The sequence below is a fragment of the Homo sapiens genome, chromosome 8 (genome assembly GCF_000001405.40).
Source record: "Homo sapiens chromosome 8, GRCh38.p14 Primary Assembly".
Classification (NCBI taxonomy): domain Eukaryota; kingdom Metazoa; phylum Chordata; class Mammalia; order Primates; family Hominidae; genus Homo; species Homo sapiens.
Window position 1 is genome coordinate 69,614,186 of NC_000008.11, and position 18,291 is coordinate 69,632,476.

The following is an 18,291-nucleotide window of genomic DNA, read 5'->3' on the forward strand; positions in this document are numbered from 1 at the left end:
CAAAGGCTAATGTGGCATAGCTTACTTGCTCAGGGCCACATAGCCATGTGATAGAGCTGGTGTTCAAATCCAGGCTTTTTGAGCTTGCAAATCCAGACTTTTTCCTTTAAGCCACACCGATGAGTAAAAAACACCATTCCGAGTCCAAGACAGAATATAGGTAATATTCACTACTACGAAATCCTATTTCAGTAAATGACTTGTGACAGCACTCTGGGTTGTAGTGAGGATTAAATGAAAAATTCATAAAGAGTGCTCTAGAGCAGTACCTGCTATCAAGCAAGAGTTAAATAAATGATCATAATCATGGTAGTCAAGATGATGATGAATGAAATTGTTTGAAATGCGTTTGACATATTTCTCATTAGATTTGATTCCACCAAACTAGCTGCACACTATTTGTATCCTCATACCAAAATTGCCAGCCTTCTCTTCTTCATCAGGTGTTATTTATATACAGGCAGATATAATCAATCAAAAACACTAACACATAATTACCTAACCAAGTGATTCTGTGCTGAGATAACTTCTGGGAATGACTCAGGAATATGAGACATGGCCCTTGCCCTTAATTCCAACTTCCACCATAGTTGGAAAGGCTGAAAGAAAATTATAACAACTTAAGAAATTATTTAAATAGTTTTATCTAGCACCTCACCCATAATTGCTGTGCAGAAATATTTGTGGAATGACTGTGTGCTAAATTATTGGCACAGACTGATAAATCAGACAGAAGGAGAACGGAAATAATGTAGTTGCAGAAAACAGGAAAACAATTTGCAGAAGGAATGAACCATCAGTGAAGATGGAGACAATCGGATTTGGCAATTAACTGATTTACTGATAAACTTCAAGAGCATAGATAATAGAAAGACAGTGTGACAGCTGTGTTTCTGCAAGGGCACTTGTTGAACAAAGCTCATTTCTGAGGCTGACTCCACACATCCCATTAGCAGGTGCCTCACCTGAGCTCAGGCTTTCATCTGATTCCTGAAACTCTCCTGCAATGCAAAAAACATCCCTTCTCATTATTTTGACTATTTAAATGGCTTGCTTCATGAGTTTCAGAGCAATTCTTTTAAAAATTCTCTTTATCTGCTTCCCTCTATAAACTCTCTAAGATCACCACTTTAGTTGTAGCTATTTCAAGGTTTTATTGTGCAGTCATAAAAATTGTCATGATATCGAGTTCTAAAATGGCTGTGGCAATGTGTGATAATTACATTTCATTAAAATTCCTAGTATGCTTGCCAGTAGGAAGATTTTCAAAGCCTCTAGTTAATTACTTTATCTAACAGGGTCTATGACTTTTTCAAAGGGTCCATGGTAGAAAAAATAATTGACATTTTTGTTCATGGCTCTTGCTTCATCCAAGTATGTGTGTAGATATATGTATATATGTAGTATGTATGGATAATATGTTTGTATGCATGTGTGTAGACATATATGCATATATGTATGTATATTTGATTTCGTATGATACATCATCATAGCCAAGGACAGTGCCAGACATCCAGTGTGGTTAAATTCAACTCTTCAGAAAGGAAACACCTTTTCCCTTCATCTCTATCCCATAGGAAACCAACAAAGAATTTGGCTAATGGGAAATTCAACTAGGATTCCAAATAGCCTAAGTCACTAAAACTTCTGCCTACACCTTTGTGTTCTACAGGAATCTACTTGTACCCTCAGCTCCTCCAGGGCAAAAACAAACAAAATAGGCAGAATTCTTTGAATGCATTGTGATTATAAAAACCACAGGTTTTCACTATAGTCATGTGCTTTAAAAATTAGTATTTGTACTAAAGTTGATATAAATTGGATCCACAAAAAGACTTTAGACCATTATTTTTCAAGAATATATATATACACACACATATATATGTGTGTATATATAATGTGTATATATATACACACATATATGTGTGTGTATATATAATGTGTATATATATACACACATATATGTGTGTGTATATATACATATATATGTGTATATAAATATATATACACATATATATGTGTGTGTATATATATATATATATATATTTTTTTGAGACGGAGTCTTGCTCTGTCACCCAGGCTGGAGTGCAGTGGCTCAATCTCGGGTCACTGCAACCTCTGCCTCTCAGGTTCAAGCCATTCTCCTGCCTCAGCCTCCCAAATAGCTGGGACTATAGGCATGCGCCGCCACCTGGCTAATTTTTGTTTCTTTGTTTTTTGTTTGTTTGTTTTTGGAAACAGAATCTTGCTCTGTCACCCAGCCCGGAATGCAGTGGCATGATCTCAGCTCACGGCAACCTCCGCCTCCCAGGTTCAAGTGATTCTCCTGCCTCAGCCTCCCAAGTAGCTGGGACTATAGGCGTGTGCCACCATGCCCAGCTAATTTTTGTATTTTTAGTAGAGACGGGGTTTCACCATGTTGTCCAGGCTGGTCTTGAACTCCTGTCCTCAGGCAATTCACCTGCCTCAGCCTCCCAAAGTGCTGAAATTACAGGCTTGAGCTACTGTGCCCGGCCGTTTTTTTTTTTTTTTTTTTTCTGTATTTTTAGTAGAGAGAGGGTTTTGCCACACTGGCCAGGCTGGTCTTGAACCCCTGACCTCAGACAATCCAGCCTCCTTGGCCTCCCAAAGTGCTGGGATTACAGGCGTGAGCCACCACACCCGGCCTCAAGAATAAAATTAGCCATATTTTCCTGTCTGATAGAAGATGGAGCACCTCTTACGCTTCCACTTGGCTGTGGATTGTGAATTCACTAGCCGATTATTTTGCTTCTCTAGGCATTAAGCAGTCAACTCTTCATTTTTAAATGCTAGAGGCAGAGATCATCCAGGTAGATGGATAAGCCTTAAACCATTTGGATTTAAGACAGATATACATACAGACAGACACTCAAATGCTACTGATTCCCAAACTTTGCAAAGTTACGAAAAGTTATTTATTTTGGCAACACTTTCCCCAGCAATAATTCTATATAGCATATAGTTATATGTTAATGGAGTTGTCTGTCAGTTTCTGAGCCCAGGCTGTAGTGCAGTAGCATGATGGCATGATCTCAGCTCACTGCAGCCCCGACCTCCTGGGCTCAAGTGATCTTCCCACCTCAGCCTCCCTCCAAGTAGCTGGGACCACAGGCATGTGCCAGCATGCTTAGATGTATATACCACAGGCATGTGCCAGCATGCTTAGCTATATATATATATATATATATATATATATATATATATATATATATATATATATATATATATGTTTTTTTTTTTTTTGGAGAGACAGGGTTTCACCATGTTGCCCAGGCTGTTCTTGAACTCCTGGGCTCAAGCAATCCACCTGCCTTGGCCTCCTAAAGTACTGGGATTGTAGGTGTGATCCACCACACCCAGCTCTGAGAACTTTTTTGATCATTTCTTGGCACATCCTAAAGCTAATTGGATAGCCATGAATGCTATAATTGGGTCTGTGAGTGCCACAAACCCAGGCCTGGAAACCACTGATCTCCACATTAAATGGCAGAATCATGAACAGGCCGCATGCAGTTTTCAGCTAAGTCAAAATTCTGTCACTTATCAACTAACTGTGGAGACAGCACAAGGATAACTGGTTTCACTTAAACAACGCACATAGTCCTGAAAGCATAGGTGCACTGATAGTATTCATCCATCCAACTGGAGTCATTTTCTGACCTGCTTACATCAGTACATTTCTAGACACAGCTTCCTTTGCACATGCCGCCCCCACCAATTACACGCATCCCTCTCAAAGACCCATGCATCTGAGCTACTTAGACTTAAATATATCCCTCCTGCCTTCCCCATGGAATCCAGCTGCAAAACTGTCCAGTAAGCAGTTGCTAATGTAAAGCAGTGGCCTGAACTCCAACTGCACATTAGAATCATCTGGGGAGCTTCTGAAAGTCCCTCTGTCCAGCCAAATTTGAGAACCACTCATCTGACCTAACTTCCTGTGTTTAATTAAGTTGACTTCACAGTTTTTAAGTTAAATCATCTCTAACTTAGTCCTTAGGCTGTTCTTGTTTGTGTTGCCTTTTTGTGGCTTTGTAAGTAAAATCCACCCTCTCTATCCGTGGGTTCTACATCTGTGGGTTCAACCAACTGCAGATTGAAAGAATTGAAAAAGAAAAGATGATTTCGTCTGTATTGAACCTGCATAAACTTTTTTTCCTGTGATTATTCCCTGAACAATACAGAATAACTACTAATTACATAGCATTTACATTGTATTAGATATTACAAGTAATGTAGAGATAAAGTATACAAGAGTATGTATGTAGGCTAAATGGAAATACTACATTTTATATCAGAGACTTGAGCATTTGTGGATTCGGGTATCTGCAGGGCATCCTGGACCCAATTCTCAGTGGATGCTGAGGGATGACTCGTTAGTCGCCTGTCTGTCCCTTGAGCTCCTGCTTCTCTGGATGAAGATGCTAAACGTTCAAGACATCCTAGCCAATCCACAAAAAAAGGTTGTACCCTGATATGGCTTGAAACAACCAAATTCAGTAGTACCAAGAGTATAGGGGGCTAAAGCAAAATCATAGAAGAAGTCCTGTATCTCTAGGATTTGGGGATTATATAGTAGAAGCCAAAAAGCAGCTCTGATAATTCAACATACATTGAAGACATACAACTCCCTTAAGAGAAAGCAAACCATGGCTCTGCATCTTGGTTCATCATGAATAATTGCATATCATTTTGTACACGAGTGTCAGTTATCAGCAAAGCCATCTGGGACCTTTGGCCAAACTTTACTTTGCAGTAGGACACTTTGCAACCAAGATATCACCCCAAATATGTACTGGTATAAGAGGGAGGTATGAGATCCTTTTAAATGATGCATGGAAGAACATCTTTTATTTAATAATTATTTATTTATTTGAATATATTTGAAAATATACGTGGCACAAAAAACCATAATTTTACAGTGCAGATAGTATTGTTCTGTCCACAGTTTAGAAATGCACCCATTTAAAGAAGAGTTTCTCACTCTTTAACTAGATATGAACAAAAACAATAAAGGATAAAGAAAAGTTTCAGTAGATAATGGTACACAACTGATAGACCTATATGGAAAGGAAAAAAGACAAAAGTGTGATAACACTATATTTTAACTCTGTGACAACTGTGGCCAACTTAAAATTAAATATTCTTCCTGCCTCCCCAATTAATTTTGTAGGGAGAAGGGGGAAAATAAAATGTAAAAGAAGTTATTCAGTCTTTAAGTAAGATGTGGAGGATCCCAGGAAATGACCCCCAGGGTGAAGAGCTATTATTTCAGCCAGGTTGAGATTCAGTAAGTGCAAGGACACTTAGTCCAGAGGCAATGTCATATTTACTTGGATGTAAGCCTGCAGCATCTGTGGCAGGCATGTTAGAAGGCTCAGTCTAGAAAAGTCAGTGCAAGCTCCCCGTATGTGTCTGTTGGGAAGTGAACTCTGTCTCACATAGCAGCATGCCCACTCTCTGCCGAGTATGCAGTTGAAACTGCAGAGTTCCCTGATCCCCTTCACAGGATGTGCAACAGGGGTGTGGCATGCCTGCTTGGTCACCACCACTGCTCAAACCCCTGATGAGAGGGGGAGCACGCAGATAGGCAGGTACAGGAACCAGGGCGAGTCTTTTGGGCTCCAGCCCTGCGGTAGTATCTAGGGGCGGGTGCCGACGGCCCCAGTGTTACAATGCTCTTTTAGCCTTGCCGTCTGCAGACAGCTTGTTAACCAGTTCAATGGACCCTCTGCCTTTTGACAAGGGTAGAGGGCCAATATGACAGCTTTCCGTATTCCAAGCTCTTGCCTAGCTCTTGGAAGAATCAGGTCACACACGGGCTTGAAGGATGAATGCAGGGTTTTACTGAGTGTTGGAGGTGGCTCTCAGTGGGACGGATGGGGAGCCAGAAGCAGGGATGGAGTGGGAAGATGATCTTCCCCAGTTTGGCCGCTGGATGGCCACACTCCTCTCTGACCCCTAGCCAAGCTCCTCTCAGTGTTCAGACGTTCCTCTTCTGTCTTTCTCTGCCACCTTGTTCCACCATTCGTCAGCTTGTCTCCTCATCTCCTTGTCTGCTTCCGGAGCCTGAGTTTCAGGGTTTATATGGGCACAGGATAGGTGGCATGGCAGGCCAAAAACAACTTTTGGGGTGCAAAAACAGGAATCCCTGTCCCCATTTAGGGCTGTAGATTCCCGGGCTTGAGGGTGAGGCCTTTGCCAGGAAACTACCTTCTTCTACCCAGGGTTTCCCTGTCTTCTGTCCATATCACAATGTTCTTAGAAGGATAAGAAAAGACACAAAAGAAAGCCTGACAAGTTTGCTAATGTCTGGGGTATATGAGAGTTGGCTCGCCCCATGATGGGCTCCAATTAAATTCATCTCTGTCTTCCTCATGTGCCATTCTTCCCTGGCTCACATTAGAAATTCAGGAGCGGAGAACAAAGCAGCCAAGTTTGTTTTTCCAGAGCAAGAGGGGTCTGGTGAAAGCAGTCCTGACAGCTGCACCGTGTGTCTTGGTGAACTAACGGCTTTTACGTGTTTCATTCAAGACTGTTTAGTCTGCGTGCTAAGGATTCATATATCAGTTTTTGGCTCTAGTGACATTGAGGTAGTTTGATTTCCAATGATTTCGTTGTCATCTGTATTTGCCTACAGTGAAAGAAATAACTGAGAGTCGAGTTAGTGCAGGGTCACTTAAAAGCTTGCCTTTCTTCATTCACTCTCCTTAATGATATTGCCAGTGCTTCTAAAAAAAAGAAAAAAGAAAAAAACTAAGGCAGCAGCTCTTAATAAATAACACCTGGAGCAGAATCGGTAAACTGCTTTCACGTTGGCTTTTGCAGAAGTGGCAATGCATTGAGGATACATCTGGCAAGCTTCGAATTCACAAGTGTAAAGGACCCAGTGACCTGCTCACAGTCCGGCAGAGCACGCGGAACCTCTACGCTCGCGGCTTCCATGACAAAGACAAAGAGTGCAGTTGTAGGGAGTCTGGTTACCGTGCCAGCAGAAGCCAAAGAAAGAGTCAACGGCAATTCTTGAGAAACCAGGGGACTCCAAGTAAGCCACGCTTTTGTGACCATCTCAATGGTGGCCTAGGCCTGTGGGAATAAACAATAGAGAGACGAAAGGGTTGCTCCTTCTACATTTTAGATATTATCAATGCATCATTTTCAGGCTAAAAGCACATCATTGCTCTATTTAAAATAAGAAAGCTAAGACTAATGTGACATTTTGCTTTGTAAACATTTTCACTTAAGCATAGAATGAAAATATAGTTCATAAAAGCACCAGATGCAAAACATATGCACACATAAAAGAGTTTATAAAATGGTTATTCCAAAAGGTAAAGGATATGGTTTAAGTCCATTTTATTTTATCGTAATGCCAACATCTCCTGACTTGTCTGCCTGAAGTTGCTTTTAAAAAATAGTAAATACAAGGTTTCAGTGTGTATGCATTTAATTTTAAGAGGAAAAGCATAAACACTTTTTTAAGGCATATATTTTAATCTCTGTTTTAGGACAATATATGTATGTTTTAATTCTGTCAAATCATTGGATCTCGTTGATTGGCAGGGACAAACTAGTTGCATTCAGTATGAAAAATACTTCCTAGAATTTTCTTAATAGCTATAAGAAACCTACGATTATATAAATGTGAAAATCCACGGGCTGACACCCTCCACGAAAGAATGAATCTAGTACCACCTAGTGGAGTAACATGGAAAATGACTCAATTTTATGGTGATTTCTTTCTATACTGGTTTGGAAAGAAGCAATTTAAGTAAATTAAATTCTATGTCAAAGATTTGGAAATCAAATCATACACTAGAACAATGGAAGCCCTGAGAACAGGCATTTTTATTGTAGACTCCACAATATGGGCTTCAGGGCCATGCCCTGATATTTCATCCAAAATTGTTGTGTTTTCCATGTGTATATGGACATTTGTTTCCATGTCAACAATTTTTAACAAATTTTAAAGGAATCCGTAAGCCAAAATACTAAGAATCTTTGATTTGGGAGACTTTTTTTCTTCCCTAACAGAAAAATTCCAGGTCTAATAACTCACACAAAGATATCAAATTTCTGAAAATCAATAAGGCCAGGCGCGGTGACTCACATCTGTAATCCCATCACTTTGGGAGGCTGAGGCAGGCAGATCATTTGAGGTCAGGGGTTCCAGACCAGCCTGACCAAACTGGTGAAACGCCATCTCTACTAAAATTACAAAAAAAATTAGCTGGGCATGGTGGCACACGCCTGTAATGCCAGCTACTTCTCGGAAAGCTGAGGCAGGAGAATTGCTTGAACCTGAGATGCAGAGGTGGCAGTGAGCCGAGATCGCACCACTGCACTCCAGCCTGGATGACAGAGCAAGACTCCGTCTCAAAAAAAAAAAAAATTAATAAGGGACGAGGACCCCAGCATGCTCTTTTTTCAGAAGCTGATTAGCAACATTCAGTTTAGAAGTAGGAGTGCCCTCTTCTCTTCCAGAAAGTTCGACCTTGTTTCCCAGGCACTGGGCATAAGGCACATTGATTTTTCAGTATTAGGCACAAACACAAGTCTAGGGCAGCTCTCTCAAACTGTATGGAATCTTGTGTATTTGAGAGCAGGAGTCGGTTTTCACCCTTTCTGCAAGGATGGAACTCGTAAGCACTCTTATTGACACCCCTACTGTCACGGAGGTTGCTCCCTGATCTGGAAACTGCAGGATTCAGCTGAGAGGTGTCTCAGAAGCATGACAATTCTGATTCCACAGCCAGTATGCCCCACTTCTTTCTATGTTAGCAGCAGGCTAGAGCGATAAGGCCAGACGAATATGCCTCTACAGAGCTAAGAGCATCTAGTGTTTGTGCATTAAAGTTCTTATCTGGTACACATGAGTTCTTGAAAAGGTTCCATAGTCACCAGAAAGCATGCTGCCCTCTCCCCATCCCTGCCCGCCCACCCCTTGCCTTAACCCTCCTCTGCCAGGTATAAAAGTGAGTTGGCTGATGAAAGCATTAACAAAATTTAATTCTTCTTAGAGTAATCCTCTACTATTTGTACAAATAGAAGTTGTCTAGAGCATTTGCCTCTTTGAAAAAGCAGCCCAATGTAGTGGTAAGACTTCATAGTCTCAGAAGATTATAGTCCTAGCTCCATAACCTTGCAAAATGTATGTGACATTCAAAACTTCAGTTTTCTCGTCCATAAAATAAGGATGAACCGGTATTGACAATCTGATGTTTTTGTATGTAAGGGTTTTTATAATAATACCTGTCTTTCAAGACTCCAGATTAGAGATAAATATGAAGTATATAATACATAGCAAAAGCTCAATAAAGGATAGTCATTATTATTAACACCATAATTGGGAATATGGTTTTATCCAAAAAAATAGCCTGAGCAGTTCACATTGAAAACCAAATGTAGAAGTTCACAGCCTGCCATGAATAAAAAGGATCCTAGAAATCACCTGGACTAACCCCCTCACTTGACGGATGAAGGGCTGGAGGCCCAGAGAAGTGTGTCATCCATCACACTGCCAGGCAATGGCACTGCCAGGCAATGGCACTGCCAGGCAATGGCACTGCCAGGACAACCTCTGCTACCGTGAATTGCAGGCACCACGATGCCACTCAGCAATGCAGCATGGACTGCTTTCTCCACTCCAGGATCCCTTCTGGACCAGGTGATCACTTTCTTCCCTTGTAAGCTACATCAGGACATCCATAGTAATGTATCTTCCCTTACTTCTAGAGTACAAGCCCAGATTTGTCCATACTCGGCAGACACGTTCCTTGTCCGTCGAATTTGAAGGTGAAATATATGACATAAATCTGGAAGAAGAAGAAGAATTGCAAGTGTTGCAACCAAGAAACATTGCTAAGCGTCATGATGAAGGCCACAAGGGGCCAAGAGATCTCCAGGCTTCCAGTGGTGGCAACAGGGGCAGGATGCTGGCAGATAGCAGCAACGCCGTGGGCCCACCTACCACTGTCCGAGTGACACACAAGTAAGAAAGCTTTATTTGTTCACTAGGGTTGAGTTCAGAATTACCACCACAACACACCATATTATCACCATTTTGCACTTGGCAAAAAAGCAGTATCACTTGGCAATACAGTGCCTGAGGGCTGGCCTATGTAGCAACTGGGGGTTAAAGAAACAATGAGTCCACGCAATCATAGGCTTGGACACATGCTTTGGGTTTGATTTCACATTAAGACTGATCAGCTAGGAATCCAGCCAGAGTAATTCACATTAAGGCTGATCAGCTAGGAATCCAGCCGGAGTAATTCCGTCACATCTTGACTTAGCAGGCATGGAGTTCATGAGCCTAAGCAGTTACCTTCGCAGGCATCTAGAAAACAGATGGAAACAATTTCAGAGGCTGGAAGTTCTTCCATGTTACACAATCACTGTCACTTGGAGCAGTTGTGTAGTCACAGACTCAGAAACGAAACACAGTCCAAGGGAGGACAGTGAGTCCCAGAGACGCTTCCAGAGAGATGATGTAGGTTACAAATGGATGTAAGACATACAAACATCTAACCAGTCCCGGATCACAGAGAGGGCCCTGGAAGTCAAGGGGACAGGGAAGGCAGATGATTCCCTCATAAGTTTAATGAACTCACTTTGTTCTTTGGCTCCATCCAAAGTCTACTTACTCTCTTGATTAGGAAATGTTTTCTTTCTGAATTTATTAGCAAGATCTTTGTTTTCTCTCCCTAATTGTATCACTTTGAGGAGATGGGACACTGTGTGCTCTGCCAGGATTTTTATCTCTGAGGCTCTGGTCTCCTGGTGCCTGAAGTTGATGCAGTTATATACTAAGGGGTTTAGACCAGAATGCATTTCTCTTACATTATTAACCCCACATCCCACCTACTGTCTATCCCTGGGGCTGTTTGTTTACTTCAAAACTCAGTGGGGTACTTAAGGCACTCTCTTTTTAACAAAATGAGTGGAATGAATTCCCCTTCTGAATCTGCTTTTCTTCAAACAAGCCATTTGCATTATGATGTGAAAGGTCCCTTTTGTTCTATGTCTATTTGAACTTGAGTTTTTTGGTGGTATCCTGTTCATGAGGGTGTGAGCATTGAAAACTGCCTTGAAAAGTGGTTGTAGGGATGATCTTAGTCACAGAGCTGTGACACCATCCACCCATGTGACATTTTGTCCTCACTGGTGGCTAGAACCTATTGTGTCCAGAATTGGTGGGTTCTTGGTCTCACTGACTTCAAGAATGAGGCTGCGGACCCTCGTGGTGAGTGTTACAGCTCTTAAGGTGGCGCATCTGGAGTCTGTCCCTTCTGATGTTCAGATGTGTTCGGAGTTTCTTCCTTCTGGTGGGTTCGTGGTCTCGCTGGCTCAGCAGTGAAGCTGCAGACCTTCGCGTGAGTGTTACAGCTCTTAAGGCAGCGCGTCTGGAGTTGTTCGTTCCTCCCAGTGGGCTCGTGGTCTCGCTGGGCTCAGGAGTGAAGCTACAGATCTTCGCGGTGAGTGTTACAGCTCATAAAAGCGGCGTGGACCCAAAGAGTGAGCAGTAGCAAGATTTATTGCAAAGAGCGAAAGAACGGAGCTTCCACAGTGTGGAAGGGGACCCAGGCAGATTGCCACTGCTGGCTCCGGCAGCCTGCTTTTATTCTCTTATCTGGCCCCACCCACATCCTGCTGATTGGTAGAGCGGAGTGGCCTGTTTTGACAGGGTGCTGATTGGTGCATTTACAATCCCTGAGCTAGATACAAAGGTTCTCCACTTCCCCATCAGATTAGTTAGTTACAGAGTTTTGACACACAGGTTCTCCAAGGCCCCACCAGAGCAGCTAGATACAGAGTGTCGATTGGTGCATTCGCAAACCTTGAGCTAAACACAGGGTGCTGATTGGTGTGTTTACAAACCTTGAGCTAGATACAGTGTCAAATGGTGTATTCACAATCCCTGAGCTAGACATAAAGGTTCTCCAAGGCCCCACCAGAGCAGCTAGATACAGTGTCGATTGGTGCAGTCACAAACCTTGAACTAAACACAGGGTGCTGATTGGTGTGTTTACAATCCCTGAGCTAGACATAAAGGTTCTCCGAGGCCCCACCAGAGCAGCTACATACAGAGTGTCAATTGGTGCACTCACAAACCTTGAGCTAAACACAGGATGCTGATTGGTGTGTTTACAATCCCTGAGCTAGACATAAAGACTCCACGTCCCCACCAGACTCAGGAGCCCAGCTGGCTTCACTTAGTGGATCCCGCACAGGGGCTGCAGGTGGAGCCGTCTGCCAGTCCCGCGCCATGCGCTCGCACTCCTCAGCCCTTGGGTGGTCGATGGGACTGGGAGCCATAGAGCAGGGGGTGGTGCTCGTCGGGGAGGCTCGGGCTGCACAGGAGCCCATGGAGTGGGTGGGAGGCTCAGGCATGGCGGGCTGCAGTCCCGAGGCCTGCCCTGCGGGAAGGCAGCTAAGGCCCGGTGAGAAATCGAGCGCAGCGCCGGTGGGCTGGTACTGCTGGTACCTCCGCAGCCGCTGGCCCGGGTGCTAAGCCCCTCACTGCCCGGGGCCGCAAGGGCCGGCCGGCCTCTGCGAGTGTGGGGCCAGCCAAGCCCACGCCCATCCGGAACTCCAGCTGGCCCGCAAGCACCGCAGGCAGCCCCGGTTCCCATTCGCGCCTCTCCCTCCACACCTCCCTGCAAGCTGAGGGAGCCGGCACTGGCCTTGGCCAGCTCAGAAAGGGGCTCCCACAGTGCAGCAGCGGGCCGAAGGGCTCCTCAAGTGCCGCCAAAGTGGGAGCCTACGCAGAGGAGGCGCGGAGAGCGAGCGAGGGCTGTGAGGACTGCCAGCACGCTGTCACGACTGCCAGCACGCTGTCACCTCTCAATATTCCCATTGATGCTGGTCTTGGATCAGCTCAACGGTTACTGCATGTATCAACATTAAGGATTTTGAGGATTAAAATTTCTCTTTGTTATCTTTAGTGTTTTCTGCTATTAGAATATAAACCTATTTCACATGGTTTTGGTTTGTTTTGCAGGTGTTTTATTCTTCCCAATGACTCTATCCATTGTGAGAGAGAACTGTACCAATCGGCCAGAGCGTGGAAGGACCATAAGGCATACATTGACAAAGAGGTTAGCCATGGCTATGTGACTGTCAGATATATTCCAAACTCAAACTCGGCCTGCCAGCCCTGCTGTGTCTGGTGGGACATACCACAGATACACATCATCTATAATTATGTGAAAAAATACAAAAAAAAAAAGTTATTTGTCTTTCTCCAGTGATTTAATGATAGTCCTACTGAAAACAATATAGAGTATGAGAAGAGACTGGGAACTGACTCAATGGTCTTTTGAAATCTCTGTGAGAAAATGATTCAGTTATAAAAGAGGAATCTGCTAATGTTTATCTATAACACATGGGTTGGAATATAGAGTCTATATAGACATATTCTATGCCCAGTTTGTTTCTATGTTAAGTATCATCTCAGATGAATAGCTGTTATTACAGAACAGAGAAAACAAGGTGAAAAGAAAAGTACTTTGTAAAGAAAATCCTGATCTTAATACGTAAGTGCTTGAAAACATGTTTTCCAGATTGAAGCTCTGCAAGATAAAATTAAGAATTTAAGAGAAGTGAGAGGACATCTGAAGAGAAGGAAGCCTGAGGAATGTAGCTGCAGTAAACAAAGGTGAGCTTGTTTCCATCCATGCTCCACTTTCCAAATTCATTTCCGCACAAGCCAGAGGCATTAGCACTGGGCTCATTTTTCTCTCTTACCTATAGAATGTATTGTCATAGAGTACGATAACCTAAGCTATTTAAGTAAAACTAAATATGCTTAAACTTAAGCAGAAAGTAAAAAGTCACATTCAGCTAAAATACTTACAACATCACTGCCTTCCTTCTTTCTATTTTGCTTTCTTTTTATAAAATGAACACTTTGATCCAATGCAAGGCTATGAAGTCTCACTTTTTAATCTTCTCTCCTGCAGCTATTACAATAAAGAGAAAGGTGTAAAAAAGCAAGAGAAATTAAAGAGCCATCTTCACCCATTCAAGTAAGTAACTCTCTGTTTTCCACATTTGCTGGGAGTCAATGACTGTCCACCTGGCCCTTCGAAGAGGCTGGAGGGACCCCTGTGTTTCCTGCAGTGCCGCTTCAGAAGAAGTAGATCCATCTAGGAGGGCACCTAGCTCATGAAGTTGAAAGCAAAGCCCCACCTCACCAAGGGACCGTGGCAATGCTCTTGGCATCCTTTGTTGGGGAGGCTTGCTGAACTCCACTGTCATTCTGTGGGTGCTCCCTACCTGGCAGATGGGACCAGTAACTAGATTTTACTCCATGCACTGCTTTCTGTGGAGAGTGCTTGAGGGTTACAGACTCTCTCGATGCAGTTGGTGTTCTACAGAGCAGCCTGGAATAGTGCTGAATTCTGAAAGTGGGAAGAAATATAAATTTTTTTAAATAATAGCAAAATTTGCATGTGAAGGAGATTTAGTATTTAAACTTCAACAAAGTTTAAGCCTTTTATATATAAAAAACAAAATAATAAAAAATAATTCTAAAAAATAAAGGCTATCTAAACTTGTTTAGTAGAATTTGTCAAAGAATTTTTTAAACTTTTTAATCCAAGCCATCTGATTCAACTAACCTTTAACTCGATGGCTGATTGGTACTCGGCTGCCAAAAAAATGAGCCATTTGTCCAAAGAGTGTGGCTAGCAGGATCCTGTCATTCACATTAACATTTATTTCCATCGATGTTTCCATGCACATGAGGAGGAAAATGTTGGTCCTCTTAGGTTCAATAAGGTCCCAAGAAAGCTGTCACTGAATGCATTTGCATTCAGTGTTCCTTTTTTGTTGTTTTTTCGAGACAGAGTCTCACTCTTTTGCCCAGGCTTTAGTGCGGTGGTGCAATCTTGGCTAACTACAACCTCCACCTCCTGGGTTCAAGAGATTCTTGTGCCTCATCCTCCCTAGTAGCTGGGACTACAGGTGTGCGCCACCACATCCAGCTAATTTTTATATTTTTAGCAGAGACAGGGTTTCACCGTGTTGGCCAAACTGATCTCAAACTCGTGACCTCAAGTGATCCGCCCACCTTAGCCTCCCAAAGTGCTGGGATTACAGGTGCAAGTCACTGTGCCCAGCCTGCCTTCACTATTCCTGATTCTATTTTAAGTCCCTCTATACAAAATGAAGGTCGTCCATTATCTCTTATCAAGGCATCTAAATATTTGTGCAAGACTCACAGCAACAAGCCTATTTGTAATTGAGAAAGTGCCTTCTGAACACTCAAAATAATCCCTTCTCTTGGAACAGGGAGGCTGCTCAGGAAGTAGATAGCAAACTGCAACTTTTCAAGGAGAACAACCGTAGGAGGAAGAAGGAGAGGAAGGAGAAGAGACGGCAGAGGAAGGGGGAAGAGTGCAGCCTGCCTGGCCTCACTTGCTTCACGCATGACAACAACCACTGGCAGACAGCCCCGTTCTGGAACCGTAAGTTGCTTGTTCCAAATGCCACTTCCTGCCGCCATGCAGAGACAGCGACTCATAACTTAGATCAGAAATTCAGCATAAAATGAGGAATCTACAAAGATTCAAGAGAAAGGCATCATATTCTACTCTATACTGGAAACTCAAATGATTTTGCCATGTATTACTGTTTTCTTTAAATTTTTTCTGGCATTTTGTTTGGTAATGCCAAGCTTCTCCCTGGCTTTTTCCTCCTGATGATGTTGTTTCACATAATACCCAGCACCTGGCACAGTTTTTACCCAGTAGAACTGTTCTATAGCTAAATAACGCAAGGGATGAACATCCCGTAAATGGATGAACAATTTTGCCCCAAATAGATTTTGTTTCTGCTTTATTTCAAGTACATAAGTGTAATAAAAGGAAGAAAAAGAATGGTAAAAGCCTCTTAAATGCAGGGCCCATACTCTACTTATTCTCAGTCCACTTCAGTACCAGCACTAGACTTGTAGAATAATAGATACTCTACAAAATTATTTGGTTTTACATTGAACTGCTAAGGATATGGCATAATAACATTTGTGCACTTTTAAAATAGTGCTTATATTTTCTTTAGTGGCCTGTGCACATTATTCACTGAGGCCATATAGAAGTAATACCCCACATTCTTATAGTACATCCTCTGATTGAAGCTTACCAGCCTATAGAGTAGATGAAACACAAAATCTTCTAACTGAGAAGCTCACTGGAGACCACCCGGGCTACTGTTTCTCAAACTGGGATTTGGAGACTCCAAAGAATTGATAGACCATTCTTGGGGGGATCTAGGGCTTGTCCTAGGAGACTTTATGTTTTCCCTTTCCATTTTGATGTCTCTTGATTTCAGGGTCCATGTTTGCATTTCTGTTTAAAATCACATCGAGGCCGAATGAACTCTTAAAGTCACAGCATTTAACTTTTAATCTAGTTTCTGAAACTGTGGTGTGGGAATCCCTGAGGGTTATTCAGATCGCTGGGGACAGTAACTGGGGACGCAACATCTAGCAAGACACTTTATTTTCTGTGCTCATATTTTAATGGGGTACAGGTAGAAAAAAAAGAAAGTAAATGAAACAAAATAATTATGAGTTGTAGTAATGCTATGAAGGAAACAGTGATCAACATTGTTTTTTATTATTATACTTTAAGTTTTAGGGTACATGTGCACAACGTGCAGGTTTGTTACGTATGTATACATGTGCCATGCTGGTGTGCTGCACCCATTAACTCGTCATTTAGTATTAGGTATATCTCCTAATGCTATCCCTCCCCCCTGCCCCCACCCTGCAACAGTCCCCGGTGTGTGATGTTCCTCTTCCTGTGTCAACATTTTTAAATGGGACTCTTTCGGAGAGCGTGGGGAAGACGGGTCTTTGAGGTGAAATTTAGGCTGAAACCTAAAGGATAGAGAGAAGCGATCCCTGTGGGAGGGAGCGTGTTCCAGGCAGAGGGAACAGTGCAAGCAGAGGTCCTGAGGGAGTCTCACCTTTGGTTTATCCAGGAGTGGAAGCTCCTTGAAAGCTGAAGCATTGCAAAACACAGGGTTATAGTTGCTTATGGCAGAAGGAGGCCCTTCATACCTCTATCTGCTTTTTATCATCTGAGTTGAGGCCATCCTGCTCAAGCCACCACCATTTCTTACCTCGGCCACTGCCAGACCTCCTCTGTGGCCTCCCAGGCTCCCCTCTGGTCCTCACCAGTCCATCCTGCTCAGAGGAGCTAGGGTGATCTTTTAAGGACACCTGCTTTTCTTAAGCTAAAGAGCAGAATCCCTTCACCTGACCCCAGAAGGCTGAGGCTTCAGTGAGCTGTGATCGTGCCCTCACACTCCAGCCTGGGCGATAGAGTGAGACGCTGTCTCAAAAATAAAATAAAATATAGCAAAATCCTTAACATATCCAACAAAACCCCATATGCTCCTATCCAATCTTACACTGGGACCATTGCCTCCTGTTCTTGCCTGCTTCAGCCACTCAACTTCTCTTTATTCCACAAGCATCTCAAGCTCCCTCTCGCCATGGGGCCTTTGCACTTGTTTCCCCTCCCTGGAAGGCTCTTGCCCACAGCCCCGTGCCCAGAAAACACTACTCACCCTTCAGACCTCAATTGCGGTGTCACTGCTCGTGGACACCCTCTCTGTGCCTCAGACTAGGGTCCGCCCATTTGATACGCTCTATCAGCAAGCTCTGTTTTTCCCCCATGGGACGTATCACATTTGTAATCATAGTTTTTTTGACTACTGTTTTTGCTTAACTGTTGTCCTTTCCACTAGACTGTGAGTTTCTCAAGATAAAAAACCATGTCTCTATGATACTGTATTCCTGACCCAAAGGAATTGCTTAGTCAATTTTAGGTGAATAAATAAACAAACAAGCAAGCCACCCTGTCCAGATCAAATCAACTCATGTCAATTTAACAAAGCTTTGAGTGCCTGCCACTGGGTGTCACTGTGCTGGTGAGTGAGGAACGTGCCTGCCATCACTCTGCTCTTGTACACAGGAGCGAATTAGGAACTGATCCCATTCAATACCAAATTTGATGCTCCTTCTGATACACAATGTATTCTTGGTGCTCTGGTATTCTAGGACAGTGGCTTCCAGAATTTTTTCCCAAAAAGCCACAGTAAAAAAATGCACCTTATATCAGGATCCTGTACACATATGTGCACATACACAAGTATATATGTGTATCTGTGTGTATATGTAATATATATACTAAAGTAAAAATTTCAAAAAAGTAATACTATGTGTGCTATGCTTAAATATTTTTATCCATTTTCTAT

At 42.9% G+C, this 18,291-nt stretch overlaps 1 protein-coding gene across 33 annotated transcripts in view; it reads left to right on the top strand.

The window, feature by feature from the left end:
- The window catches only part of SULF1 (sulfatase 1), a 194,132-nt gene that overhangs the window by 147,405 nt on the left and 28,436 nt on the right, over nt 1-18,291 (top strand). For all 33 annotated transcript variants that reach the window (NR_182051.1, NR_182053.1, NR_182050.1 and 30 more), the window contains 6 exons: nt 6,850-7,066; nt 9,757-10,012; nt 13,025-13,121; nt 13,587-13,681; nt 13,986-14,051; nt 15,319-15,494. Coding sequence is in view for 26 of the 33 variants with exons in the window: in NM_001412835.1 (NP_001399764.1) it covers nt 6,850-7,066; nt 9,757-10,012; nt 13,025-13,121; nt 13,587-13,681; nt 13,986-14,051; nt 15,319-15,494 (907 nt within the window). In the remaining 7 variants the exon portion in view is untranslated. The remainder of the gene's footprint in view (nt 1-6,849; nt 7,067-9,756; nt 10,013-13,024; nt 13,122-13,586; nt 13,682-13,985; nt 14,052-15,318; nt 15,495-18,291) is intronic.